Here is a 24,638-nt window from a genome sequence, read left to right as displayed (position 1 = left end):
GAAGGAATCTTATAACCTACACTGTTGTTATTATTATTATTATTTTTTTCCCCGAAACAGAGTCTTGCTCTGTCGCCCAGACTGGAGTGCAATGTCGCAACCTCGGCTCACTGCAACCTCCGCCTCCTGGGTTCAAGTGTTTCTCCTGTCTAAGCCTCCTGAGTAGCTGGGATTACAGGCACACACCACCACACCCGGCTAATTTTTGTATTTTTAGTACACACGGGGTTTCACCATGTTGGTCAGGATGGTCTTGAACTCCTGACCTCATGATCCACCCACTTCGGCCTCCCAAAGTACTGGGATTACAGGCGTGAGCCACTGCGCCCGGCCCTGTTACATTATTTATATAATCTTAAACTATCATACTACTAGTACTACTGCAATATAATTGTATTTATTTATTTATTTATTTATTTGAGATGGAGTCTCGCTCTGTTGCCCAGGCCGGAATGCAGTGGCATGATCTCGGCTCACTGCACACTCCGCCTCCCGGGTTCACGCCTCAGGCTCCCGAGTAGCTGGGACTACAGGCGCCCGCCACTGCGCCCGGCTAATTTTTTGTATTTTTAGTAGAGACGAGGTTTCACTGTGTTAGCCAGGATGGTCTCGATCCCCTGACCTCGTGATCTGCACGCCTCGGCCTCCCAGAGTGCTGGGATTACAGGTGTGAGCCACTGCACCCGGCCTATTTATTTATTTTTAATTAAATTTGTTTTTTTTTGAGACGGAGTCTTGCTCTGTCACCCAGGCTGGAGTGCAGTGGCGCGATCTCGGCTCACTGCAACCTGTGCCTCCTGGGTTCAAGCGATTCTCCTGCCTTAGCTTCCTAAGTAGCTGGGATTACAGGCGCATGCCACCATGCCTGGTTAATTTTTGTATTTTTAGTAGACACGGGGATTCACCATTTTGGTCAGGCTGGTCTCGAACTCCTGACCTCATGACCTGCCCACCTCGGCCTCTCAAAGTGCTGGGATTACAGGCATGAGCCACTGCTCCCGGCCTAATTTTATTTATTTTTATTTTATTATTATTTTTTTCAGACAGGGTCTCACTCTGTCGCCCAGGCTGGAGTGCAGTAGCAGCATCATAGCTCACTGCAACCTTGAGTGCCTGGGCTCAAGCAATCTTCCTGCCTCAGCCTCCTGAGTAGCTGGGACCACAGGCATGCACCACCATGCCCTGCTAATTTTTTTTTTTTTTTTGTAGAGATGGAGTCTCACTATGTTGTCCAGGCTGGTCTCCAATTTCTAGCCTCAAGCCATCCTTCCATCTTGGCCTCTCAAAGTGCTGGGATCATAAGCATAAGCCGCTGCATCTAGCCGTTAATGTAATCCTAAAAGACAATTCATCCTTCCATATTGGGTGGACCCGGAGTTGAGGGAGGTTTGACAAAGCAGTTTATATTGTGCACATTGGGTAGATGCTGAATCTGGGGGAAATTTACACTCAAGAGAGTGCACACTGCCTTTGTAGGTAGCCCCATGGGGAGTGCTTCATGCTATCACAAAAGGGGTTCACAGCAGCCACAGAGAGTTCTCCATGCATGGAGATGTGCCCTGTCTGTGTTAACTTTGTCATCGATATGAAAGAGATTACAATGTCTGTGGGGAGGCTCATAAGGGACAGAGGTTCACATTGCCCATGGGAGCTTACATTATGTTTGGGGGAGATTTTTATTGATCAGGGTAGGGTTTTGTGTTCCACAGTCCGTTTGCATCAGGAGTGAGGGAGAATTAGACTTTTAGCAGAGAGGTGTGTACTCTGCATGAGGGAATTCACTTGGCCTAGGGAGCCTGCTGCAGTGAAAGGAGGTCTCGACTGTCAGTTTAGGATGTTCTCTGGCTGTGGTGAATTTGTAATGTCCATGTAGGGATTCCCCCTGCTTACAAGAGTTATACCATGTTGGGATGCCAAGAAGGCAGATCACTTGAGGTCAGGAGTTCAAGACCAGCCTGGCCAACATGGTGAAACTCCATCTCTACTAAAAATACAAAAATTCGGCTGGGTGTGATGGCTCACGCCTGTACTCCCAGCACTTTGGGAGGCTGAGGTGGGTGGATCACCTGAGATCAGGAGTTTGAGACCAGCCTGGCCAATATGGTAAAACCCTGTCTCTACTAAAAATACCACAAAAATTAGCAAGGCATGGTGACGGGTGCCTGTAATCCCAACTACTCGGGAGGCAGAGGCAAGAGAATTGCTTGAGCCCAGGAGACAGAGGTGGCAGTGAGCTGAGATTGCGCCATTGCACTCCAGCCTGAGCAACGGAACAAGACTGTGTCTCCAAAAAATAAAAATACAGGCCAGGCGCGGTGGCTCATGCCTGTACTCCCAGCGTTTTGGGAGGCTAAGGCGGGCGGATCACGAGGTCAGGAGATCAAGACCATCCTGGCTAACACAGTGAAACCCCGTCTCTATTAAAAATACAAAAAATTAGCTGGGTGTGGTAGCACACGCCTGTAGTGGGCAACAGAGTGAGACTCCGTCTCAAAAAAAAGAAGAAATGGCCGGGTGCGGTGGCTCACACCTGTAATCCTAGCACTTTGGGAGGCCGAGGCGGGCGAATCACCTGAGGTCAGGAGTTTGAGACCAGCCTGGCCAACATGGAGAAACCTCATCTCTACAAAAATACAAAAATTAGCCGGGCGTGGCGGCAAGCGCCTATAATCCCAGCTACTTGGGAGGCTGAGGTGGGAGAATCACTTGAACCTGGAAGGTGGTGGTTGCAGTGAGCCAAGATCGTGCGACAGAGCGAGACTCTGCCTCATGATCTCAAAAAAAAAAAAAGAAATTATACTGCCTCGATAACACTCACAAGTAGATTGTGTGGGGCACAAATTGGTTTTTTGTTTGTTTGTTTGTTTGTTTGTTTTGAGACAGTCTTGCTCTGTTGGCCAGAGCTAGAGTGCAGTGGTAATACCTCACCTTACTGCAGCCTCCGCCTCCCGGGTTTAAGCGATTCTCATGCCTCAGCTTCCCAAGTAGTTGAGATTACAGGTGCACGTCACCACACCTGGCTAATTTTTTTGTATTTTTAGTAGAGACAGGGTTTCACCATGTTGGTGAGGCTGGTCTCGAACTCCTGACCTTAAGTGATCCAGTCACCTCAGCCTCCCAAAGTGCTGGGATTACAGGCATGAGCCACTGCGCGTGACCCACAAATTATTTATATGCTATCTTGCCATCTATATGAGAGACTCACAATGCATTTGAGGGTCTCACTTTCTACACTGGGGCTCACACTGTATGTGGGGGTTTATTAGTTATGGACATTGCACCATTTGTATGGGTTCATATTTTTTGTGGGTTGGACCAGGTGAATGTGCACTCAGTTCACTTACTTCAGCAAATACATATTATCAGCCTATTCTCTCTCTTTTTTTTTTTTTTTTTTTTTTTTGAGACAGAGTCTCGCTCTGTTGCCCAGACTGGAGTGCAGTGGCGTGATCTCAGTCCGCTGCAACATCTGTCTCCTGGGATCAATCAATTCTCCTGCCTTAGCCTCCCGAGTAGCTGGGACTACAGGTGCATACCACCATGCCCGGCTAATTTTTTGTATTTTTAGTAGAGATGGAGTTTCACTGTGTTAGCCAGGATGGTCTCCATCTTGGGACCTCATGATCCGCCTGCCTCGGCCTCCCAAAGTGCTGAGATTATAGACATGAGCCATCGTGCCCAGCCAATATTACAAACCTATTCTATGACACTCACTGGTCTAGGCGCTGGTGACAAGGCAGTGAAAAATATAGACTGAATCCAGTTCGGTTCAGTGGCTCAGGCCTGTAATTCCAACACTTTGGGAGGCCAAGGCAGGTGGATCATTTGAGGTCAGGAGTTTGAGACCACCCTGACCTGTAATCCCAGCTACTCAGGAGGCTGAGGCAGGAGAATTGCTTGAACCCGGGAGGCAGAGGTTGCAGTGAACCGAGATTGTGCCATTGCACTCCAGCCTGGGCAACACACAAGAACGAAACTCTGTCTCAGAAAAATATAAATAAATAAATAAATAAATAAAATAAGCTGGATACAATGCCTCCCGCTTGTAATCCCAGCACTTTGGGAGGCTGAGACAGGAGGATCACTTGAGTCCAGGAGTTTGAGACCAGCCTGAGCAACATAGTGAAACCCCATCTCAACAAAAAAATACACAAAAAAATTAGCCAGGAGTGGTTGGGCATGGTGACTCACGCCTGTAATCCCAGCACTTTGGGAGGCCGAGGTGGGCAGATCACAAGGTCAGGAGTTTGAGACCAGCCTGGCCAATATGGTGGAACCCCGTCTCTACTAAAATTACAAAAATTAGTCGGGCGTGGGGGCAGGCGCCTGTAGTCCCAGCTACTCAGGAGGCTGAGGCAGGAGAATCCCTTGAACCCGGGAGGCGGAGGTTGCAGGGAGCTGAGATCACGCCATTGCACTCCAGCCTGGCAACAGAGCGAGACTCCATCTCAAAAAAAAAAAAAAAAAAAAAAATTAGCCAGGAGTGGTGGCATATGACTTGGTCCCACTTACTTGGGAGGCTGAGGTAGGAGGATGGCTTGAGCCTGGCAGGCGGAGGTTGCAGTGAGCCGAGATGGTGTCACTGCACTCCACCCTGGGCAACAGAGCCAAACCCTATCTCGAAAAAAGGAAGAAAAAAGTAGCTGATTCTAGAATAGTCAAAGGTAGAGCTGGTGGAAATTCCCTTCAGATTGGATATCGGATGAGAGAAAGGGGGCAAGGATGACTCCAAGGTATTCAGCCTGAACAGCCAGCAAAATGGAATTGCAATTTCCTGAGATGGGGAAGCTTGTGGGGGCAGCAGTTTGGGGGAGTTCAGGAAGACCATTTTTGATTTGGCAAGCTTGAGAAATCCAGATAGACACACTGGTGAGGTAGTTGGATGTGCCAGATTGGAGTTCAGGGGAGAGTCGAGATTGAGATAGAATTGTGGGCGGAGGCTGGGCGCGGTGGTTCACAGCTGTAATCCCAACACTATTGGGAGGCTGAGGTGGGAGCATCACTTGAGCCCAGGAGTTCAAGACCAGTCTGGCCAACATAGTAAGATCCCCATCTCTCCAAAAAGATACAAAAATTAGCCAGGTGTGGTGGTGCACAGCTGTAGTCTCAGCTGCTCAGGAGGCTGAGGTGGGAGGATCACCTGAGCCTAAGGGTGTCAAGGCTGCTGTGAGCTGTGATCGCACCACTGCACTCCAGCCAGACAACAGAGTGAGACCCTGTCAAGAAGGAAAAAGAGGAAAGAAAGAAAGAGAGAGAGAGAGAGATCAGAGACGAGAGAGAGAGAGAGAGAGAGAGGGAGGGAGGGAGACAGAAGGAGAGGAGAGAGATAAATAAACCAATAAATAAATAAATAACTGTGGGTGTAATCAGCATAGAGATGGCATATCCACTGTGGGACTGGTGGAGGTTATCAAGGGAATGAGTCTAGACAGGAGAAAAGAGGGATCTGAGCCCTGGTGCCTTCAGCATCTTCAGTCAGGGAGATGAGAAAGAGTGATACTCTAAGGGGGTGACATTCTGTTTAGAGGTGGTCACACTGTGTATGGTGGCTATACCATATGAGATGAGTCATACTATTCATTTTTTAAATTTTTGTTTTGTTTTGATAGAGAACACTGCAACAGGGTTTTGCAGAGGGGGAGAGATTGGACTCAATCCCCCGCATCACACTATCTTTTTTTCTTAAGAAACAGGGTTAGGCCGGGTGCAGTGGCTCACGCCTGTAATCCCAGCACTTTTGGAGGCTGAGGCAGGCGGATCACGAGGTCAGGAGATCGAGACCATCCTAGCTAACATGGTGAAAGCCCATCTCTACAAAAAATACAAAAAATTAGCTGGGCGTGGTGGCGGGCCTCTGTAGTCCCAGCTACTTGGGAGGCTGAGGCAGGAGAATGGCGTGAACCCGGGAGGCTGAGTTGCAGTGAGCTGAGATTGCGCCACTGCACTCCAGCCTGGGCGACATGGTGAGACTCCGTCTCAAAAAAAAAAAAAGAAAGAAAGAAACAGGGCTCGGTGGCTCACGCCTGTAATCCCAGCACTTTGGGAGGCTGAGGCAGATCACGAGGTCAGGAGTTCAAGACCAGCCTGTCCAACATGTTGAAACCCCATCTCTACTAAAAATACAAAAATTAGCCGGGCATGGTGGTGGGCACCTGTAATCCCAGCTACTTGGGAGGCTGAGGCAGAAGAATAGGTTGAACCCGGGAGGCGGTGGTTGCAGTGAGCCAAGATTGTGCCACTGCACTCCAGCCTGGGTAATAGAGAAAGACTCTGTCTCGGGGGGGAAGAAAACAGGGTTTTCAGCCAGGCGTGGTGGCGGGTACTTGTAATCGCAGCTACTTGGGAGGCTGAGGCAGAATTGCTTGAACCCAAGAGGTGGAGGTGACAGTGAGCCGAGATCGTGCCAACGCACTCCAGCCTGGGTGACGAAGCGAAATTCCACCTCAAAAAAAAAATAATAAATAAAAAATAAAAAAGCTGGGTGTGGTGGCTCAGGCCTGTAATCTCAGCACTTCAGGAGGCCAAAGAGGGTGGTTACCTGAGGTCAGGAGTTTGAGACCAGCGTGGCAACATGGTGAAACCCTGCCTCTACTAAAAATACAAAAACAAATTAGCTGGGCATGGTGGCGTGCGCCTGTAATCCTAGCTACTCGGGAGTCTGAGGCAGGAGAATCACTTGAACCCAATCTCAGCTCACTGCAACATCTGTCTCCTGGGTTCAATCGATTCTCCTGCCTCAGCCTTCTGAGTAGCTGGGGTTACAGGCACCCGACACCATGTCCAGCTAATTTTTGTAGTTTTAGTAGAGACAGGGTTTCACCATGTTGGCCAGGCTGGACTTGAACTCCTGACCTCAGGTGATCCACCTGCCCACCTCAGCCTCCCAAAGTGCTGGGATTACGGGCATGAGCCACCGCACCTGGCCAATATTTCACCATCTCTACCATCTCTGGGGGTGGGTATCAGTGTTGATAAAGCAATTGGAGTCACATAGGCCACTGAAAGATTACAATATCCATGGACACGTTTGCACAAACCACCAAACTTAAGAGGCCCAGACGACATTTTCACGAGGGACTTTCACTCTCCGCGGATCGTTCAGATTCTCCCACGAGGCATGCCGATCATCCGTGATTGTGTTTCATAGAAACACTGAGTTTGAGCCAACCATCTGGGTCAGAGTGGGATTATGACATTAATACACAATTTCACACTGTCAGTGCAGTGTGCTTTATTTTTTTAAATTTTATTTTTAAGAAAAAATGTCCCTTAACACCTAGGTGATGGGTTGATAGGTGCAGTAAACCACCATGACACACGTTTACCTATGTAACAAACCTGTACGTCCTGCACATGTATCCCAGAACTTAAAATAAAAATTAAAAAAAAAAAAAAGAAGAAAAAGAAAACATAAGCCTGGGCTGCCCTTTGGACACCACGGACACAGATCTGCCAGTAAGAACCATCCTCCCGGCCAGGCTTGGTGGCTCACGCCTGTAATCCCAGCTCTTTGGGAGGCCGAGGTGGGCGGATCACCTGAGGTCAGGAGTTCGAGACCAGCCTGGCCAACATGGAGAAACCCCATCTCTACTAAAAACACAAAATTAGCCGGGCGTGGTGGCGCAAGCCTGTAATCTAGGCTACTCGGGAGGCTGAGGCAGGAGAATTGCTTGAACCTGGGAGGAAGAGGTTGCAGTGAGCTGAGATCCTGCCACTGCACTGCATCCTGGGTGACACAGGGAGACTCCATCTCAAATAAATAAAAAAAAAAATAAATAAATTTTTTGTAGAGAGAGTCTCACTCTGTTGCCCAGGCTGGTCTTGAACTCCTGGCCTCTTGAAATTCTCCTGCTTCGGCCTCCCAAAGTGCTGGGATTACATGTGTCAGACACAAACTGCAGCCAGCCTGTTTATTGCTGTTTACTCTAACTGTTGTTACAGTTGGAGTCTGTAGGGTAGAGTGCTCTTGTTATCCATGGGGCATAGAGTTCACTCTGCTAATAATTATTAACAGTATTTATTGCATACTTACTTTGCATCTCTGATTTTTCTTTTTTTCTTTTTTTTTTTTTTTTAAGACGGAGTATCGCCCTGTCACTCAGGCTGGAGTGCAATGGCATGATCTCGGCTCACTGCAACCTCCGCCTCCCGGGTTCAAATGATTCTCCTGCCTTAGCCTCCTGAGTAGCTAGGATTACAGGCGCCAGCCACCACGCCCAGCTAATTTTTGTATTTTTAATAGAGACGGGTTTTCACCATGTTGGCCAGGATGGTCTGGAACTCCTGACCTCAGGTGATCCACCTGCCTCGGCCTCACAAAGTGCTGGGATTACAGGTGTGAGCCACCTCGCCTGGCCACATCTCTGATTTTTCACAATAACTTGATCATGTAGGATCTATTAACACCTCCATTTTACAAATGAGGAAAATTGAGGCTCAAAGAGGTGAACTTGGCCAGGCGCAGTGGCTCACGCCTGTAATCCCAGCACTTTGGGAGGCCAAGGAGGGCGGATCACGAGGTCAGGAGATCGAGACCATTCTGGCTAACACGGTGAAATCCCGTCTCTACTAAAAATACACAAAATTAGCTGGGCGTGATGGCGGGTGCCTGTAGTCCCAGCTACTCGGGAGGCTGAGGCAGGAGAATGGCGTGAACCCGGGAGGCGGAGCTTACAGTGAGCCGAGATAGCGCCACTGCAGTCTGGCCTGGGCGAAAGAGCGAGACTCCATCTCAAAAAAAAAAAAAAAAAAAAAGAGGTGAACTTCGCTAGGCAGGGTGACTCACACCTGTAATTCCAGCACTCTGGGAGGCCAAGGTGGGCGGATCGTTTGAGCCCAGGAGTTGGAGACTATCCTGGTCAACACAGAGAGACCCCAACTCCACTAAAAATAAAAAAAAATTAGCTGGGTTGGCTGGGCATGGTGGCTCACGCCTGTAATCCCAGCACTTTGGGATGCTGAGGCGGGTGGATCATCTGAGGTCAGGAGTTCAAAACCAGCCTGACCAACATGGAAAAACCCCGTCTCTACTAAAAATACAAATTAGCTGGGCGTGGTGGCGCATGCCTGTAATCCTAGCTACTCGGGAGGCTGAGGCAGGAGAATTGCTTGAACCCAGGAGACGGAGGTTGCGATGTGCCAAGATGGTGTCACTGCACTCCAGCCTGGGCAAGGAGAGCAAAACTGCGTCTCAAAAAAAAAAAAAAAAAAAAAAAGCTGGGCATGGTGGTGGGCGCTTGTAATTCCAGCTACTCAGGAGGCTGAGACAGGAAAATTGCTTGAACCAGGGAGGCAGAGGTTGCAGTGGGCCAAGATCGTGCCATTGCACTTACAGCCTGGGTGACAAGAGCAAAATTCCATCTCAAAAAAAAAAAAAAGTAACTGGGCATGGTGGCATGTGTCTGTAGTCCCAGCTACTCAGGAGGCTGAAGTGGGAGAATTGCTTGAGGCAGGGAAGTCGAGGCTGTAGTGAGCCATTATTGTGCCACTGCAATCCAGCCTGGGCAACACAGTGAGACCCCCATCTCAAAAAAAAAAAAAAAAAAAAAAAGAGGTGAACTGAGTTCACTTGCCTTGTCAGAGACAAGAAGTAGCAAAGGTTGGGTGTAACAGCCAGGTGTGGTGGCTCACACATGTAATCCCAGCACTTTGGGAGGCTGAGGCTGGCGGATCACGAGGTCAGAAGATTGAGACCATCCTGGCTAACACGGTGAAACCCTGTCTCTACTAAAAATACAAAAGATTAGCCGGGCGTGGTGGGGGGCGCCTGTAGTCCCAGCTACTCAGTAGGCTGAGGCAGGAGAATGGCGTGAACCCGGGAGGCGGAGCTTGCAGTGAGCCGAGATGGGGCCACTGCACTCCACCCTGGACGACAGAGTGAGACTCCGTCTCAAAAAAAAAAAAAAAAGGTTGGGTGTAACTCATCTCTGTCTTGCTGGTGGGAGGGTAGGGGTCACTGGGTTTGTTACTGATGTGTTATCTTTTTGTTTGTTTGTTTGTTTTGAAACTGAGTTTCGCTCTTGTTGCCCAGGCTGGAGTGCAATGGCGCGATCTCAGCTCACCGCAACCAACCCCCTCCCGGGTTCAAGCGATTCTACCTTAGCCTCCCGAGCAGCTGGGATTACAGACATGCACCACCAAGCCCGGCTAATTTTTTGTATTTTTAGTAGGGACGGGGTTTCTCCATGTTGGTCAGGCTGGTCTCGAACTACAGACCTCAGGTGATCCACCTGCCTCGGCCTCCCAAAGTGCTGGGATTACAGGCGTGAGCTACCGCGCCCAGCCTTTTTATTTATTTATTTTTAGACGGAGTTTTGCTGTTACCCAGGGTGGAGTGCAGCGGAGCGATCTCGGCTCACTACAGCCTCCGCCTCCTGGATTCAAGCGATCCTCCTGGGTTCAAGCGATTCTCCTGCCTCAGCCTCCTGAGTAGCCGGGATTACAGGTGCGCCACCACGCCTGGCAAATTTCTGTACTTTTAGTAGAGATGGGGTTTCACCATGTTGGCCAGGCTGGTCTGGAACTTCTGACCTGAAGTGATCTCCCGCCTCGGCTCCCAAAGTGCTAGGTTTACAGGCGTGCGCCACTGCGCCGGGCCCTGATGTAGTATCTTTGAAAATCTGCATTTTTTTTTTTTTGGAGGGGGTAGTAAAAGAGGTAATAAAGCATAATGGTAAAGGGTAAATGTGGTGGTTTGGAATTGGTTAGATCTGGGTTCGAATCTTAGTTCCAATACTTCCTGGCTGTAAGATTTAGTGGACTGATTTTCCCTCAGAGAGCATCACTTTCTTTATCTGTAAATGGGGATAACAGCAGTAATTCCCCTCGTTGGGATTTTGTGAGGATTAAATGAGAAGATGCCCCTGACAATGCTTGGCCCGGTGCCTGGCACATCATGAACACTCGGAATTCGGGAGCTGTTATTCGAACAATGAAGATGATTATTATTGCTGGACCACACCGCTCCCAGAGGGTTACAATATCCGTGGGGGAGCTGTACTGTCCGTAGGCAAGGTTACATAATTCCCGGGGGTTGTGGGGGAAAGCTTCCCTGGAGCCCTTGGTCTCCCCAAGGAGGAGGCCTGAGACTTTTTTTTTTAGGCACTGGTGAGGAGCCTGTCTAAGGTGGACTAGGTACCCCGCAAGCGAGGAGGCTGGGATTGAAGCCCTGGGTACCGGGAGCCTGAGCTCCGCAGGCCTTCCCTATCTGTGACTTTTCTGTCTCCCCGCCCATCTTCTGGATTCGTCCCCCACCCAGCCCCCCCAACTCCCGCCCGCCACCCATACGCCCCTCCTTCGGAACCTCAGAGTCTTTTTTGAGACTCTGTTTCCAGGCTATGCCTGTGAATATTGCTTCTATTTGGCCTCTACCCTGCTGCCGGCTCCTGGGCTCCATCAGATCTGCGCTGTGATTTCCTGTTTCCCAGAGCCTCAGGCTTCATCCTTCCCTCCCGGCTGAGGCAGAGAACGGAGACTTAACACTTCTCTACGCTCTGGCTTTCGATCTTAAGCCCTGTCTTCCTCTCTCCTGGCGACCCTCAGTGCCCCTTGGGAGCACATTTGTTCAGACTTTGGTCGCCCCCTCGTATCCCGGCCCCGCCTCCGGAACCCCCGGTCCTAGTAGTGGACGTGGGGGGACCTCCGGCGCCAGCCCTATCCCCGGGACAGCTGCAGCCTGGGGACGGTGGTGGTGGGGGCTTCCAAATGCATTCTCTCTGGTCACTTCCTCCCCAGCTGGACGGGGGTTATCAGGGAAGCCAAGACCCCATCCCCACAGGAGCGGAGGGCACAGCCGCCTCCCCATTTCCGATGCTGGGAAATGCATCCCACCCATTCCACCCCACCCCTGGACAGCTGCCCCCATTCAGGCTCAGGGTTGGGGGGTTGGGTAAAACCAAGCTGGGAAATGCTGTGGTCTTCATCATCTTCTAAGGTCCTGACCCCGCCCCTCTGCAGAGAAGATTCTGCCCCCTCCCCACAAAAGTTTCTGACCCCCGCTTCCTCGGAAGGGCCCCCCGTTTTCCCATACAGGCTCCCAAAAGAAACTCTGGAGCCCGCAGTGGGCAGGAGAGGAGGAGGGGCAGCAGGTAGCGAGTGCCGAAGACTTAAGTTAGCTGCAGACTCGGAGCCTCTGACTAGGGTCATGACCCGCGGGACCCCATCCCACCCCCACCCCCTCCTTCCTCCCTCCCCCGCCGCGCGGCCCCTTTAAGCCCAGAGCCGGCCGGTCCTCAGTGGCTGCGCGCCGACGAGCGTGTGTGTGAGTGCGCGGGGAGGGGGCGGGCGCAGTGTCTCCATGGCGACGCGGCGGTGACGTCGCCGGCCGGGGGGCGTGGGCGTCCCGGCCCCGGAGTGCGATATTAACCCGGGAGGCGGCGGCGGGGAGGGGAGAGGCTCTGAGAGGCGAGGCCGGGTGAGGCGGCGAGGGCGGCCCGACGGGCGCGGGACGGGACGGGGCAGCGAGGGCGCCGGGAGCCGCGGCCCGGAATCGGGGCGCTTCGCCCCGGGCCCCCCAGCATGAAGACCCCGGCGGACACAGGTGGGGGCGGGGGCAGCACGTGTGGGGGAGACTTGTTGCCCCGGGAAACCGAACGGAGAAACTTTGGGGGGGCTGAAGGGGTCCGGGGGAGCCCGAGTGATCCCCAGTTCTGGGGGACCCCTCAAGCACTGGAGACCTGTTGCTTCTCGTGGCGCGAGCGGGGTTGCTGCCTGGGACCCCCGATTCCTGGCTCCGGGCGGAGTGGTGTGGGTGCTGCGGGTCTTGGTCCTGTATCCCTACCGGGACCCCGCAGGCCGGGCTCTCCCCCACTCCCGGGATCACGGGGGTGGCGGGGTCCTTCCCCTCCGCTCTTGTCACGTTGCACTCTGGGGGCCGGGACGTGTGCGGGGCGGGGGGGCTCGTCCACCGGGCCCGCTATCCCTGGTTCTGCGCTGCGCGGTCCTGCTGGTGACCTTCACGGCGGCGCGTGCCCTGCACCAGGTTAGCGGGGGATACGGGATGGCCTCTAGGAGGAGGGCGTGAGTGGGGAGCCCGGGACTCGGGGTCCTGGCTGCGCCGCCCCTCCCCCGCCCGCCTCTGTCGGCTCCTCGCTCCCCCGCCCTCGCCGAGTCGCAAAGTTCCAAAGCGCAGCCCGAACGTTCGAAAAAGGAACTTTTTGTTTCCGACCTTAGAACGCGCGGCTTTAAGGTGGCTCCGGGGAGACCTGGGTACCCTCCTCCCGCGCCACCGGTGGCCCGGGGTTGAGGAGGGTGGGGAAGGTGGGGGGAGACGCAGAGGCTCCCCCCTCGCCCCCCCTCCCGGATCCACCTCTTCTCTTTCAGCGGGCCGTCTCTTCCCTCCGCCCCTCTCTTCCCCGCCAACTTGCTCCTCCTTAAGGGGCCAAGGTTCCCCTCCCCCTCGGTCGGCGGGCGGGGGGCAGCGGGATTAACTCCCCCTCCCACTCGGACTTTTCCCCCTCCCCTCCCCCGCCGCCCCCGGGCTCGCGCGGGCTGGACTTTGCGCCCGAGCGCGCAGGGGGAGGGGTCCCAGCCGCCCCCTGCCCGTCTACCCCGTCGGAATCCGGCCCGGGGCGGGGACGGGGGAGGGGGAAGGGGGCCGGGCGCCGCTGTTCAAACTTGTTTCCTTCCCCCGGCGGCGGCGGCGGCGGCGGCGGCGGCTCGGGCTCCTGTGTGCGGGTGTGTGCCCCGACCGGCCCACCCACCCCACCCCATCCCCACCCCATTCCCACCCCATTCCCATCCCCATCCCCCTGCTCGGCGGGTGGGGGCGGCTTAATCTTAAAGGGCTCCGAGCTGGGATCCGGCGCCAGGGGATTGGGACCCGGACCGAGGAGGGGCCCTGGGGGTGGGGCCGGGGTGCGGAGTGCGGTAGGGTCAGTCACGTGCGTCCTACACACTCCCCCGGCTTCCACTCGCTCCCGGGTGGCTGGGCCCTGGGGGCAGCAGGAGCCTACCCTCGCCCAAGGAGGAGGCCGAGGCACCCAGACAACCTCGCTTCATCTTCTCTCCCTGCTACCGGCCTTGGCCTGATAGGATCCGCGGGTCGCTTCCCCAACCCTGTCGGGGGGCGGGACAGTGTGTGGGTTTTCCGGCTGGGGGAGGGGAGGGGAAGGAGGCCTGGAATGGCCTCCGATCGGTGCATCTTTCCCGTCTGCCTCCTGGCCTGCCGCTCCGCACCCCTCCATCCAGTTCTCCATCCCGGTCCCTCTCTCTGCCGTGGCTGTTTCCCACTTCCTGTTTTCTTCCCGGCTCTGGCGCCATAGAGGGCCGCCTGGAGTGGGGGAGGTGGTGGGGCCCCCCAGGAGGCCGGCGTGTTCTTCCTCTGCCACCACTCCTCCCTTCCGACCCTCATAGTCCCTTAAAAAAAGTTTGGGCCGTCACGTGAGGTTGGGGGGTGCCCAGGAGTTTTGTCCCCCCAGGCTTGCATAGTCTGTCTGGGAGAATCCCTACCCCGCCTCTGTGGGACCCAGGTGTGCTTCTGGGACCTCGCCATCCCAGCCCTTGCTGTCTGACTGCTGCCACTTCTGCACTCTGTCTCGCAGTCTCCTGAACCCCTCTCTCCATGTGCCTGCTCTCTCCCTGCCTCACTGGCCCCCATGTTCCCGAGGTCCCGCACCCCCAAGCTTCCTCCGTGCAGGTCTGGTGTTTCCCTGTTTTAAGCACGTGGACGCATACACAGCACACTCACACATGCTCCCCTTGCCCGTGCCTGGCTCCTGGCTCCAAGGCCTGGGGAACAGAGCCCCATTGAGACACCCTGACGTCACCCCCTCTTCATTCTCCCCCCCCCAAAGCCGGGAACAGGCCTTCATGTATGCTGTGTCCGATGAGGAAAGCCGCCGTTGTGGTGGGCTTGGGAGTGGGGAAGGGTCCCTGCCAGAAGTGGGAGCCAGGGTCCAGGCCCTGGAGGAGGGGTTGCTCAGGGAAGGGGTTTAACAAGGGGGCCTGGGACAGCTCCCAGAATGCGGCTTGAGGCCTTTCCAGAGCCCCCCCACCTCCTTTCCGAGTTCCCTTTGTGTTGCATGTAGTCTCTCTCACTCCCTCTCTTCTGCAAAGTTTATTTTTAGCCTCCTGCTCCCCCGCTCCCAGGACTGTCGCTGCACACACGTTGCCTGGTTACCGGGACACGGAGGCTGGGGCGGGTGGGCTGGGAAGGGTGGCTTTAATTTTGGGGGGAGGGTGGAAGTCAGTACATCCCCCACCCCCAGATTGATGTCTCAGGGGCTTTGGCCCCCCTTCTAGGTCTAGAGCCAGATTGGGGCTGAGGTGGAAGTAACATGGAGCTTGGTTCCCTGAGAGGGGCTGGGAGCTTTTTGGAGGGGATATGAGGGTCCATGAAGCTGGTGGCTGGGTCACCTGGGTTCCAAAGGACCCTGGGCCTTGCAGGAGACCTTGTGATCTGGATTCTCTAGAAGGGTGAGGATAATGGGTTGAACACCTAGATTCCCAAGAGAGCGATGGTGCTCTGGGGTCTCTGGAAGGGGTTGTCAAAGGCTGTCACTTTTAAATGGAACAGGGGCTGTTGGTGCTGGTCTGTGAACAGCTGGAGGTCATATCCCTGGCACCCTGAGGGGCTGGTGGAAGGCTGGGATATATCTGAATGGGGCAGGGACTCCGGGGGCTATGTGGTACTGCAGCCCAGTCTGGGCAGGAGTTGGGGGCCTACAGTGAGCTCTGGATTTGGAGGGGGTGGTCCCTGTGGGAGCAGGAACTACTGATTCCCTGGATTCCCAAGGGGAAGGATCCCTTGTTGGATTCCAGACTTGGGTGGAGTCTTTGAGGGTGGATGTGTTGCCTGGAGGCCTTGTTGGTACCTGTTTGAGCTGGGGCCAAGGGAGGCGGATTGACCCCTGCAGCCTGACTGGATTTGGGAGCCGCCCATCTTTAGCTGGCCACCTTGGCCTTCTCTCTCTAGTGGCACCAGGGACCCTGCTCTGCCTCCCCACTCCTTCCCTTCCTCCCCTTTCCCTCCTCCCACCCCTCCATTACCGGCTGCCTGGTGCTGAATTATTGATGGCCCCTGTTGTTGGGAAATGACAACAACCGCAGTCCCCCCACCCCCCACCCCCCACCCCAGGCTGCCCACCCCCTCCAGAGACCAGCCAGCCCACCGCCAACCTCTACCCAAGGTTAATGCTGGGGGTGGGCAGGCAGGTGGGCAGGGAAGGAGCTGAAGATGAGAAGGCAGAAGTGGGAAGAGGGTGACAGCTCCAGGGTGCCTGCTCAAGCTCCAGGCCTGGGCTGGGCCCTCCAGCCAGGTGGGGCCTGGATGCCTGGGTCTGGGGAGGGCAGTGTAGCTCAGAGGGTCCAGGGCTTGGGGGGCCTCTCAGACAGTCTGGGTTTCACTCTCCAGGGAAGACAGAAGCCTCTGTGTGTGCAAGCGCTGACCTCATCGGCAACCGAGTCACCCCACCCCTCCTGGTCCTTTTAAGAAAAAAAAAAAAAATCTTCCTCTCAGGTCTTGGGGTTGGGAGTAGGGGCTCTGTTGGGTCTTCGGAGGAGACAGTGCATGTTTCTAAGGAGGACATCCGAGGAGCTGGGGTGGTGCAACTGGCTCTGAATGGGAGTGGGGGTAAGCTGGGGGGCTGTACCCCAACCCGGCTGGCCACGTGTGCCCCTTCCTGCCCCTCCCCCACTGGCAGCCCTGCCCGCCAGCCTGGCTTGGTGCCTGGCCCCCTGGCACTGGCCCCGGGACCCACCGCCGACGGTTTCCTGTTTCTCCCGGTGTCGCTGGAGCGGGCTCCAGCTTCCCCTCCCCCCCAGCTCCTGTCTAGCCCCTCACATGCAGACAGACAGACACGCACTGTCTTCTCTTAAATCAGATCTTGACTTGGCTGAGGTGAGACAGATTTCCCCATGTTGAAGGCAGGGCAGAGGTGGACCCTGGGATGGGACCCAGAGCCCTGGACTTGGCAGCCTGACCCCAGGCCACTCCCTGCCTCCCGTCCCCAGGGTTTGCCTTCCCGGATTGGGCCTACAAGCCAGAGTCGTCCCCTGGCTCAAGGCAGATCCAGCTGTGGCACTTTATCCTGGAGCTGCTGCGGAAGGAGGAGTACCAGGGCGTCATTGCCTGGCAGGGGGACTACGGGGAATTCGTCATCAAAGACCCTGATGAGGTGGCCCGGCTGTGGGGCGTTCGCAAGTGCAAGCCCCAGATGAATTACGACAAGCTGAGCCGGGCCCTGCGGTGAGGACGGGCTGGGGACCCCTGAGCACATGTGGAGTGCCCCCCCGGGGTTGCACAGCCCCTTGCCTGTGGGAACAAGCATTGGGTCTGACCCCTGGCTTTGCCAAATCCTAGCTGTGTGACCTTGGGCCACTCCCAGCCCTTCCCTGAGCCCCTTGGTAACACAGACGTATCCTGAGGAGAGATTACAGTCACCAGTGGATCCTCTAGTCCTGCCTTAGATGTGAGGAGAGAGCTGGTACCCACCCTCTGGGCACTTGATTTGTCTTTTGTGGCCTACGTTCCTCAGTTGGCCTTTGGGAACCACACCTAAGTGCGTGTTAAGGTGTGGAGTCTAGACCTGGGTCCCACGTACCTGACCTTCCCAATGGCATTTCTGTACCCACAGCTATTACTATAACAAGCGCATTCTGCACAAGACCAAGGGGAAACGGTTCACCTACAAGTTCAATTTCAACAAACTGGTGCTGGTCAATTACCCATTCATTGATGTGGGGTTGGCTGGTGAGTACCAGGGATGGTTGGTGTGGAGAGGGTCTACATGCCCCTTCAGGCTAGGCCAGGGGCCTTGACACTGTCTCCCTTCTGCCAGGGGGTGCAGTGCCCCAGAGTGCCCCGCCAGTGCCGTCGGGTGGTAGCCACTTCCGCTTCCCTCCCTCAACGCCCTCCGAGGTGCTGTCCCCCACCGAGGACCCCCGCTCACCACCAGCCTGCTCTTCATCTTCATCTTCCCTCTTCTCGGCTGTGGTGGCCCGCCGCCTGGGCCGAGGCTCAGTCAGTGACTGTAGTGATGGCACGTCAGAGCTGGAGGAACCGCTGGGAGAGGATCCCCGCGCCCGACCACCCGGCCCTCCGGATCTGGGTGCCTTCCGAGGGCCCCCGCTGGCCCGCCTGCCCCATGACCCTGGTGTCTTCCGAGTCTATCCCCGGCCTCGGGGTGGCCCTGAACCCCTCAGCCCCTTCCCTGTGTCGCCTCTGGCCGGTCCTGGATCCCTGCTGCCCCCTCAGCTCTCCCCGGCTCTGCCCATGACGCCCACCCACCTGGCCTACACTCCCTCGCCCACGCTGAGCCCGATGTACCCCAGTGGTGGCGGGGGGCCCAGCGGCTCAGGGGGAGGCTCCCACTTCTCCTTCAGCCCTGAGGACATGAAACGGTACCTGCAGGCCCACACCCAAAGCGTCTACAACTACCACCTCAGCCCCCGCGCCTTCCTGCACTACCCTGGGCTGGTGGTGCCCCAGCCCCAGCGCCCTGACAAGTGCCCGCTGCCGCCCATGGCACCCGAGACCCCACCGGTCCCCTCCTCGGCCTCGTCATCCTCTTCTTCTTCTTCCTCCCCATTCAAGTTTAAGCTCCAGCCGCCCCCACTCGGACGCCGGCAGCGGGCAGCTGGGGAGAAGGCCGTAGCCGGTGCTGACAAGAGCGGTGGCAGTGCAGGCGGGCTGGCTGAGGGGGCAGGGGCGCTAGCCCCACCGCCCCCGCCACCACAGATCAAGGTGGAGCCCATCTCGGAAGGCGAGTCGGAGGAGGTAGAGGTGACTGACATCAGTGATGAGGATGAGGAAGACGGGGAGGTGTTCAAGACGCCCCGTGCCCCACCTGCACCCCCTAAGCCTGAGCCCGGCGAGGCACCCGGGGCATCCCAGTGCATGCCCCTCAAGCTACGCTTTAAGCGGCGCTGGAGTGAAGACTGTCGCCTCGAAGGGGGTGGGGGCCCCGCTGGGGGCTTTGAGGATGAGGGTGAGGACAAGAAGGTGCGTGGGGAGGGGCCTGGGGAGGCTGGGGGGCCCCTCACCCCAAGGCGGGTGAGCTCTGACCTCCAGCATGCCACGGCCCAGCTCTCCCTGGAGCACCGAGACTCCTGAGGGCTGTGGGCAGGGGACCTGTGTGCCCCGCACCCCCCATGCTTCTTTTGCTGCCTTAAGCCCCCTATGCCCTGGAGGTGAGGGCAGCTCTCTTGTCTCTTCCCTGCCTCCTCCCTTTTCCCTCCCCACATTTTGTATAAAACTTTAATTTCTTTTTTTTAAAAATGGTGGGGGTGGGTGGGTGCCCAGGGCTAGGGGCTATTCCCTGTCTCTGTGGGTTTCTAAGCTCTGGGCAAAGTGGTGGTAGGGGGAGGGAGGGGGAAGTTAAGGGGGTCACCTCCATTCTGGGGAATTTATATTTGAATTGAGGCTTTGGCCTTAACACCCAGGAACTTTTCTATTACAATCGCTTAGGAAGTAAAGCCTTGTCTCCCTCCCTGTTCTCTGCCTCTTGTACCCCTCTGACCCACCCGCTCTGCCCCACTCCCAGCCCTCCTCAGCCCCAGCCCTGCCTGCCCTGCCCCTCCAGGGGGCCATGAGTGCCTAGGTTTCTCATACCCCACAAGGTCACAGCAGGGGAGGGAGGGACAATTTTATAATGAACCAAAAATTCCATGTGTTGGGGGGTGGGGGGCGGAGGAGGGTGAGGGGTGCCGCCCATGGGCCACAAATCTCTACAAGTGCCTGCTATCCCTCTCCCACTCCCCACCCCAGCACCGGTCCAACCCCTTCATCCCCAGCTGCTCCTAGGACTGGCCCATGGGCAGGCGGGTGGGGGGATGGGAAGGGGGTGCCCTGAAACCAAACTGGAAGCCCCCTCTGCCTCCCAGCTGGGGCCTCTGGGGTGGGGTGGGGGGCTGTGGTCAAGCCTTATTCTGTATTGGGGACTGAGGGTGGGGGGAGTAGAGGGGCCGCTGGAGAATGTATTCAAAACAATAAAACTTTGGACCTTTGGATGCAGTGATCAATGTCCTAGGTGCTCGGTGCAGCCCCCTGAGGGCCACAGCTTTTGCTTGATTCTGAAGGAGGGGCCCCACCCTGGCTGCTAGTGGGTCTGTGGCCAGATCAGTATAGAGGGCCTAACCCTAATCAGAATGGGCCAAATCCAGGCCTGGGAAACCGTCTCCTGACCTCAGAGGCACATGAGCCCCAGAGCTTGATGATAGTGGTCTCAGGCATGCGCCGGCTTCATCAGACTGCTCCTCTGTTCCATGGGGACCTTGTCCTTGAAAGCTCTTCCCACTGTTTTTCACCACAACCCCACTGCCCTTGCTCTTCTGATTGCCTGGATGCCTTCCCACTTGTGGCTAGGAATTCTTCCCACACCCCAGGTCCCCAGTGAAGACCAGGAGCTCCCTTTTGCACTGCCCCTCGCACCCTGCCCACACCCCTCTCTTGTTGCTCTGAGTTCAGCTGGGAGTCCTTTGGAGAACAGCCTGTGGTGTCTCTTGAAATGTAGACCTTGCAAGGTAACTTGGTGATCTTCAGGTCCAGGTATGGGAACACCCCCAGCCAGCACACAGCCAAGGGACTGGCTCACTAGTCATCGATGCTGTTGACCTACTGTGTGTCCAATACTTAAGAGCTGCAGTGTTGTAGCTCCTTCAGTATCCAGTAAGGTAGGGGCAACCAGTGCTGCTAAGTGACTTGCCCAGGGCCCTGTGGCTGAGCCAGGACTTCAAAGCCCACGTTCTTTCAACAACTCCTGACTTTTCCTTCCTAACACCAAGATAGTTGGATCCAGATCAGGCTTTCAGGATCAGAGGATTTGAGATGAGCTCATAGAGCTAGAAGCTGAGATTGGAGAGCTTGAATCAGGGATGAAAGAATTAGGAGGAATAATCCAGGCTGGAAGTACCCTTAGAGACAAGTTCTGTCTCCACCATGCAGGTGAGGTGCCTGAGGCCCAGAAAGGGGAAGGGGTTTCCCCAAGGCCACACAGCTGCTAAGAGATGGAGTGGCAATTGAGGGCTTGTTGGACTGGCTTCGCCATGAAACTCCACCCTGTGCAACCCTGAGGGGGAAGAAACGTTGACTGGCAACTGCTACCCACTCGCATCTCATTTCATGCCAGCCAGGGTGGGTGGTCCCAGATGATGTCGGTTGGCAGGGAAGAGAGGATCCAGGGCTAGGATACTGGCAGGAAACCGAGGCTCCCGAGGCGGCCTGCGGGAAACTGCTCCCTCTCCTGGGTGATGTAAGTCATTCCCTGGGGTGGGGGCCACTGGGCTATTTCTGGAAGCTGGGATGAGACATGTCTCCTGGCAACATAGTTGCAGCTGAGTTGGTGGTGGTGGTGGGGTGATGGAGAAGGGGATGTTGTCACTCGGGAGGAGAGGACCCTAACTACTGGCCTCAGCCCCTGAACCCAGTGCCTTCAAAGCACCTCTAACCACATCTAATATGGAATCATAAGTGCTCAGCTCAGCTCCCTAACTGCTGTCCAGGTCAGACCACAGCCCTACCAGACAAGTTGCCCCAGATTCTGGCTGTGTAGGATGTCACAGGTGGCATTTGGCCTTGAAAACTCCAGCGGCTACTCTAACCTTTAATCGCCCACCTAAATCTATTAGCTAGCTGGCTTGAAATGTTCCTGCAAGAAGACACCCTTGGTCCCATCCATATCCTCTGAGATCCTTGCTTCCAAGTAGAAAGCCCTTTACAGATGCTCTCAAGGCACTTCACATATTAATTAATCTCATCAGAGACCTCCCTGCTTTGTACGTGTAGCCCCAGTACCTCCACAGACTCTCAAAGCCCCTTCCCAATGCTTCTCAACCATCCCTCACCCCTTCAGGTCGCTCAGAGATCCCCTTGGTCACCAGTAATTTCTGTCTCCCATAGACCTTTTTTTTTTTTCTTTTTTTTCAAAACAGAGTCTCACTCTGTTGCCCAGGGTGGAGTGCAGTGGTGCAATCTCAGCCCACTGCAACCTCAGCCTCCCAGGTTCAAGAGATTCTTGTGCCTCAGCTTCCCGAGTAGCTGGGATTACAGGCGTGGGCCACCACGCCCGGCTAATTTTTTTGTGTGTTTTTAGTAGAGATGGGGTTTCCTCCATGTTGGCCAGGCGGGTCTCGAACTTCTGACTGACCTCAAGTGATCCACGGCCTTGACCTCACAAAGTGCTGGGATTGCAAGTGTAAGCCATCGCGTCCACCCACCCATAGAACTTTTAGCAGACAGCCTAAGTCCCCTCAGGCTTCTCCACTGGTCCCCAGTAATTATCCTGTCAACTAAGCTCATCAAAGACCCCTTCACCACTCCACGGACTCCTCTTAGCCCTTCTAGACACCCATAGGCCTCTCTCAGACGTTTACAACCCTTCCTAGCATCCCTCTATGAACATTCTCATCCTCTACAAACATCCTGATAGATTGCAGACCGTCACCTTCAAACTCCCACGGACCCCAATCCCCTCGTGGCGGTTGCCCACACGCAGCGGCGCATGCCCCACGGGTTCTGGCGGTTAAATAACCCTCGCTATCCTGCCCCATGTCGCCGCCCTTTTGAGCCGTCTTGGTCCCGCGTTGGAATCCCTAGGCCAAGGGGCTCGACTGAAATTTTTACTTTTTGACTCAGAGCTGCCATCAGAGGGCAGCAGGTACCATTTGGCTGGGAAACTGCAACTCCCAGAAACGCCCGCGCCTAGCCGCGCGTGGTGCGGCCACCTGCTTTGTGAAGGGAGCGGAAGTGTTCCGCACTTTGCCTTCTGGGTAATGTAGTCTCAACAGGCTTTGGCGCTACCGACCCCCGCAGTTGTGTCCGCGGGGAATTGCAGTCAGGAACAAACTGAGTGGACAGGACTTTCTTCTGGTTTCAGAAAGGACAGGACAGTTAGTATAAGCACAAGCTCGGATTAACGTGAAGTCCAGAGACTCCATTTCCCACCATTCCAGGATGCGGGAGGGGCTGAGAACGCTTTCATTCTACTTCTAAGTATTTCCGGGGGAGGAAGAGACACATACAGACACAGGAACTCTGTTTCCCAGCGCCTTTTGGGGGCTACTCTCCTTCGGGTATTAATCGATAAATAGGACGACTCACTGAGTACACAAAACCTGAGGCAGCTGGCTTCCTTATTTTTGGCTTTCCGGGATCTTGTAATTTAGGAAGCGGAGGATGCAAAACACAAGAGTGGGAGGCCCGGTGCCGTGGCTCAAGCCTGAAATACCAGCACGTTGGAGGCTGAGGTAGAATCGCTTGAGCCCAGGAATTGGAGACCAGCCTGGGCAACATGGCGAAGCCCACCCCGCTACCCCCCACCACCCCAAAAAACAAACCAAACCAAATTAGCTGGGCGTGATGGTGCACGCCTGTAGTCCCACCTACATGGGAGGCTTAGGTGGGGGGATTGCTTGAGCCTGGGAGTTAGAGGCTGCAGTGACCTGTGATTGCGCCACTGCCCGCCAGCCTGGGCGGCAGAGCGAGACCCTGTCTCAAAACAAACCAAAAACTGAAAACTGAATGGTGGTTCAAGACAGGATTTTTTTTTTTTTGAGACGGAGTCTCACTCTTTTCGCCCAGACTGGAGTGCAGTGGCGCGATCTCGGCTCACTGCAACCTATGCCTCCCGGGTTCAAGCGATTCTCCTGCTTCAGCCTCCTGAGTAGCTGGTATTACAGGCGCCCGCCACCACACCCGGCTAATTTTTGTACTTTTAGTAGAGACGGGGGTTTCGCTATGTTGGCCAGGCTGGTCTCGAACTCCTGACCTCGGATGATCCGCCAGCCTCGGCCTCCCAAAGTGCTAGGATTACAGGCGTGAGCTACTGGCGCCCAGCCTGAGCCACAGCGCCAGGCCCAGAAATGACATTTCCGTCTTTTTAATGCTCCATTCAGCTTCCTGGTGCGAACCACATTGCTAGGAAAAGCTAGACTGTATCCGAAGACTAGTTAGTGTTCTGAGAAACCGCCGGGAACTTTGTTTCCCGAATCTTTGCAGAGTTGCGGTTAGAGAGGGGACATTTTTTCTTTCCTGATCTATGGTCACCTGGAACTTAAAGGTGCTTGGATCCATTTTCCAGCAGTCCTTGATCGACCTCGGCTCTTTCTTAAAGAAGGACCTGGGGGCGAGGAAGGAGGCGCTGAAACACTTTTAAGTCTCTCCAGGGAACTGCCGCAGTCTCTAACCTTTCGTTCACACGCCCCTGATGGTGGCCATTGGACTTCGCTTCCCGGCAAGCCTCCGCAGACTGGCCTCACAGAGGGTCAGGTCTGGACTATTCCCCAGCATGCTTGGAGCTCATGGGCGATCCCGCCCCCTCAGTCAATGGGGAGGATACGTCGAACTCCATTTCCCAGAACACACCAGGGCTCGCTGTGGCAACTGCACTGAGGCCTTGGTGCTGACTACACTTCCCGGCAGGGACTGCGGCCCAGCGTACCTGGAAAGAGGAGCGCGTAAACCTACTCCATTTCCTCGCCCATCTCCGGAACTGCAGTATCCACCTGGGGCTTAAAAACCACCTGAGACTCCATTTCCCGGCGTGCTTTAAAAATCGCTTTACACCTGCAATGCGGTGAGGGCGTGGCGACGACTCCATTTCCCGGCTTGCCTCACGGCCCGAGACCCGCAGGTTCACGCGGGCCGACTCAATTTCCCAGAGCGCACCGAGCTCTGGGAGGCATACACAGCTAATAGACTGAGT

At 55.4% G+C, this 24,638-nt stretch overlaps 1 protein-coding gene across 7 annotated transcripts, besides 20 other annotated features; it reads left to right on the top strand.

Annotated features, from left to right (window-relative positions):
- Positions 8,703-8,903: a silencer, noted in NCBI's record as "peak3489 fragment used in MPRA reporter construct". NCBI's record gives its function as "represses an SCP1 promoter by STARR-seq MPRAs in K562 erythroleukemia cells {active_cell/tissue: K562}" and the evidence as "EXISTENCE:reporter gene assay evidence [ECO:0000049][PMID:32103011]".
- Positions 8,703-9,542: a biological region, named in NCBI's record as "H3K27ac-H3K4me1 hESC enhancer GRCh37_chr19:42762126-42762946".
- Positions 8,722-9,542: an enhancer, noted in NCBI's record as "H3K27ac-H3K4me1 hESC enhancer chr19:42762126-42762946 (GRCh37/hg19 assembly coordinates)". NCBI's record gives its function as "activates a minimal SCP1, AML or CMV promoter by ChIP-STARR-seq in naive H9 embryonic stem cells {active_cell/tissue: H9 hESC(naive)}" and the evidence as "EXISTENCE:reporter gene assay evidence [ECO:0000049][PMID:30033119]".
- Positions 9,543-10,364: an enhancer, noted in NCBI's record as "H3K27ac-H3K4me1 hESC enhancer chr19:42761304-42762125 (GRCh37/hg19 assembly coordinates)". NCBI's record gives its function as "activates a minimal SCP1, AML or CMV promoter by ChIP-STARR-seq in naive H9 embryonic stem cells {active_cell/tissue: H9 hESC(naive)}" and the evidence as "EXISTENCE:reporter gene assay evidence [ECO:0000049][PMID:30033119]".
- Positions 11,160-11,691: an enhancer, noted in NCBI's record as "H3K4me1 hESC enhancer chr19:42759977-42760508 (GRCh37/hg19 assembly coordinates)". NCBI's record gives its function as "activates a minimal SCP1, AML or CMV promoter by ChIP-STARR-seq in primed H9 embryonic stem cells {active_cell/tissue: H9 hESC(primed)}" and the evidence as "EXISTENCE:reporter gene assay evidence [ECO:0000049][PMID:30033119]".
- Positions 12,187-12,586: a silencer, noted in NCBI's record as "silent region_10699". NCBI's record gives its function as "represses an Ori minimal core promoter by ATAC-STARR-seq in GM12878 lymphoblastoid cells {active_cell/tissue: GM12878}" and the evidence as "EXISTENCE:reporter gene assay evidence [ECO:0000049][PMID:35858748]".
- Positions 12,187-13,286: a biological region, named in NCBI's record as "H3K27ac hESC enhancer GRCh37_chr19:42758837-42759336".
- Positions 12,332-12,831: an enhancer, noted in NCBI's record as "H3K27ac hESC enhancer chr19:42758837-42759336 (GRCh37/hg19 assembly coordinates)". NCBI's record gives its function as "activates a minimal SCP1, AML or CMV promoter by ChIP-STARR-seq in primed H9 embryonic stem cells {active_cell/tissue: H9 hESC(primed)}" and the evidence as "EXISTENCE:reporter gene assay evidence [ECO:0000049][PMID:30033119]".
- Positions 12,388-19,947, top strand: ERF (ETS2 repressor factor). 7 transcript variants are annotated; one of them, XM_047438394.1, is made up of 6 exons: positions 13,617-13,674; positions 16,076-16,127; positions 16,352-16,570; positions 16,951-17,185; positions 17,574-17,689; positions 17,778-19,947. In XM_047438394.1, the coding sequence occupies exons 4-6, from the start codon at positions 17,154-17,156 to the stop codon at positions 19,049-19,051; spliced, it is 1,422 nt and encodes a 473-aa protein (XP_047294350.1). In that variant the 5' UTR covers positions 13,617-13,674; positions 16,076-16,127; positions 16,352-16,570; positions 16,951-17,153; the 3' UTR covers positions 19,052-19,947. The 7 variants fall into 7 exon arrangements, with proteins under 7 accessions (NP_001299585.1, NP_006485.2, NP_001427350.1 ...); NM_001440420.1 differs by lacking the exon at positions 16,076-16,127; NM_001312656.2 differs by lacking the exons at positions 13,617-13,674; positions 16,076-16,127; positions 16,352-16,570 and adding an exon at positions 12,388-12,412.
- Positions 12,597-13,286: a silencer, noted in NCBI's record as "silent region_10698". NCBI's record gives its function as "represses an Ori minimal core promoter by ATAC-STARR-seq in GM12878 lymphoblastoid cells {active_cell/tissue: GM12878}" and the evidence as "EXISTENCE:reporter gene assay evidence [ECO:0000049][PMID:35858748]".
- Positions 13,367-13,436: a silencer, noted in NCBI's record as "silent region_10697". NCBI's record gives its function as "represses an Ori minimal core promoter by ATAC-STARR-seq in GM12878 lymphoblastoid cells {active_cell/tissue: GM12878}" and the evidence as "EXISTENCE:reporter gene assay evidence [ECO:0000049][PMID:35858748]".
- Positions 13,527-13,646: a silencer, noted in NCBI's record as "silent region_10696". NCBI's record gives its function as "represses an Ori minimal core promoter by ATAC-STARR-seq in GM12878 lymphoblastoid cells {active_cell/tissue: GM12878}" and the evidence as "EXISTENCE:reporter gene assay evidence [ECO:0000049][PMID:35858748]".
- Positions 13,667-13,716: a silencer, noted in NCBI's record as "silent region_10695". NCBI's record gives its function as "represses an Ori minimal core promoter by ATAC-STARR-seq in GM12878 lymphoblastoid cells {active_cell/tissue: GM12878}" and the evidence as "EXISTENCE:reporter gene assay evidence [ECO:0000049][PMID:35858748]".
- Positions 13,767-13,926: a silencer, noted in NCBI's record as "silent region_10694". NCBI's record gives its function as "represses an Ori minimal core promoter by ATAC-STARR-seq in GM12878 lymphoblastoid cells {active_cell/tissue: GM12878}" and the evidence as "EXISTENCE:reporter gene assay evidence [ECO:0000049][PMID:35858748]".
- Positions 20,065-20,359: a silencer, noted in NCBI's record as "tiled region #11582; HepG2 Repressive DNase matched - State 14:Gen5'". NCBI's record gives its function as "represses a minimal TATA promoter and a strong SV40 promoter by Sharpr-MPRA in HepG2 cells {active_cell/tissue: HepG2}" and the evidence as "EXISTENCE:reporter gene assay evidence [ECO:0000049][PMID:27701403]".
- Positions 22,835-23,628: an enhancer, noted in NCBI's record as "H3K27ac-H3K4me1 hESC enhancer chr19:42748040-42748833 (GRCh37/hg19 assembly coordinates)". NCBI's record gives its function as "activates a minimal SCP1, AML or CMV promoter by ChIP-STARR-seq in primed H9 embryonic stem cells {active_cell/tissue: H9 hESC(primed)}" and the evidence as "EXISTENCE:reporter gene assay evidence [ECO:0000049][PMID:30033119]".
- Positions 23,173-23,232: an enhancer, noted in NCBI's record as "active region_14709". NCBI's record gives its function as "activates an Ori minimal core promoter by ATAC-STARR-seq in GM12878 lymphoblastoid cells {active_cell/tissue: GM12878}" and the evidence as "EXISTENCE:reporter gene assay evidence [ECO:0000049][PMID:35858748]".
- Positions 23,629-24,423: an enhancer, noted in NCBI's record as "H3K27ac-H3K4me1 hESC enhancer chr19:42747245-42748039 (GRCh37/hg19 assembly coordinates)". NCBI's record gives its function as "activates a minimal SCP1, AML or CMV promoter by ChIP-STARR-seq in naive and primed H9 embryonic stem cells {active_cell/tissue: H9 hESC(naive and primed)}" and the evidence as "EXISTENCE:reporter gene assay evidence [ECO:0000049][PMID:30033119]".
- Positions 23,629-24,562: a biological region, named in NCBI's record as "H3K27ac-H3K4me1 hESC enhancer GRCh37_chr19:42747245-42748039".
- Positions 24,243-24,292: an enhancer, noted in NCBI's record as "active region_14708". NCBI's record gives its function as "activates an Ori minimal core promoter by ATAC-STARR-seq in GM12878 lymphoblastoid cells {active_cell/tissue: GM12878}" and the evidence as "EXISTENCE:reporter gene assay evidence [ECO:0000049][PMID:35858748]".
- Positions 24,353-24,562: an enhancer, noted in NCBI's record as "active region_14707". NCBI's record gives its function as "activates an Ori minimal core promoter by ATAC-STARR-seq in GM12878 lymphoblastoid cells {active_cell/tissue: GM12878}" and the evidence as "EXISTENCE:reporter gene assay evidence [ECO:0000049][PMID:35858748]".

This window comes from Homo sapiens, chromosome 19 (assembly GCF_000001405.40).
Source record: "Homo sapiens chromosome 19, GRCh38.p14 Primary Assembly".
In the NCBI taxonomy this organism is placed as follows: domain Eukaryota; kingdom Metazoa; phylum Chordata; class Mammalia; order Primates; family Hominidae; genus Homo; species Homo sapiens.
The sequence above is the reverse complement of the archived record's forward strand: the minus strand, read 5'-3'. Positions and strand labels throughout refer to the sequence as shown.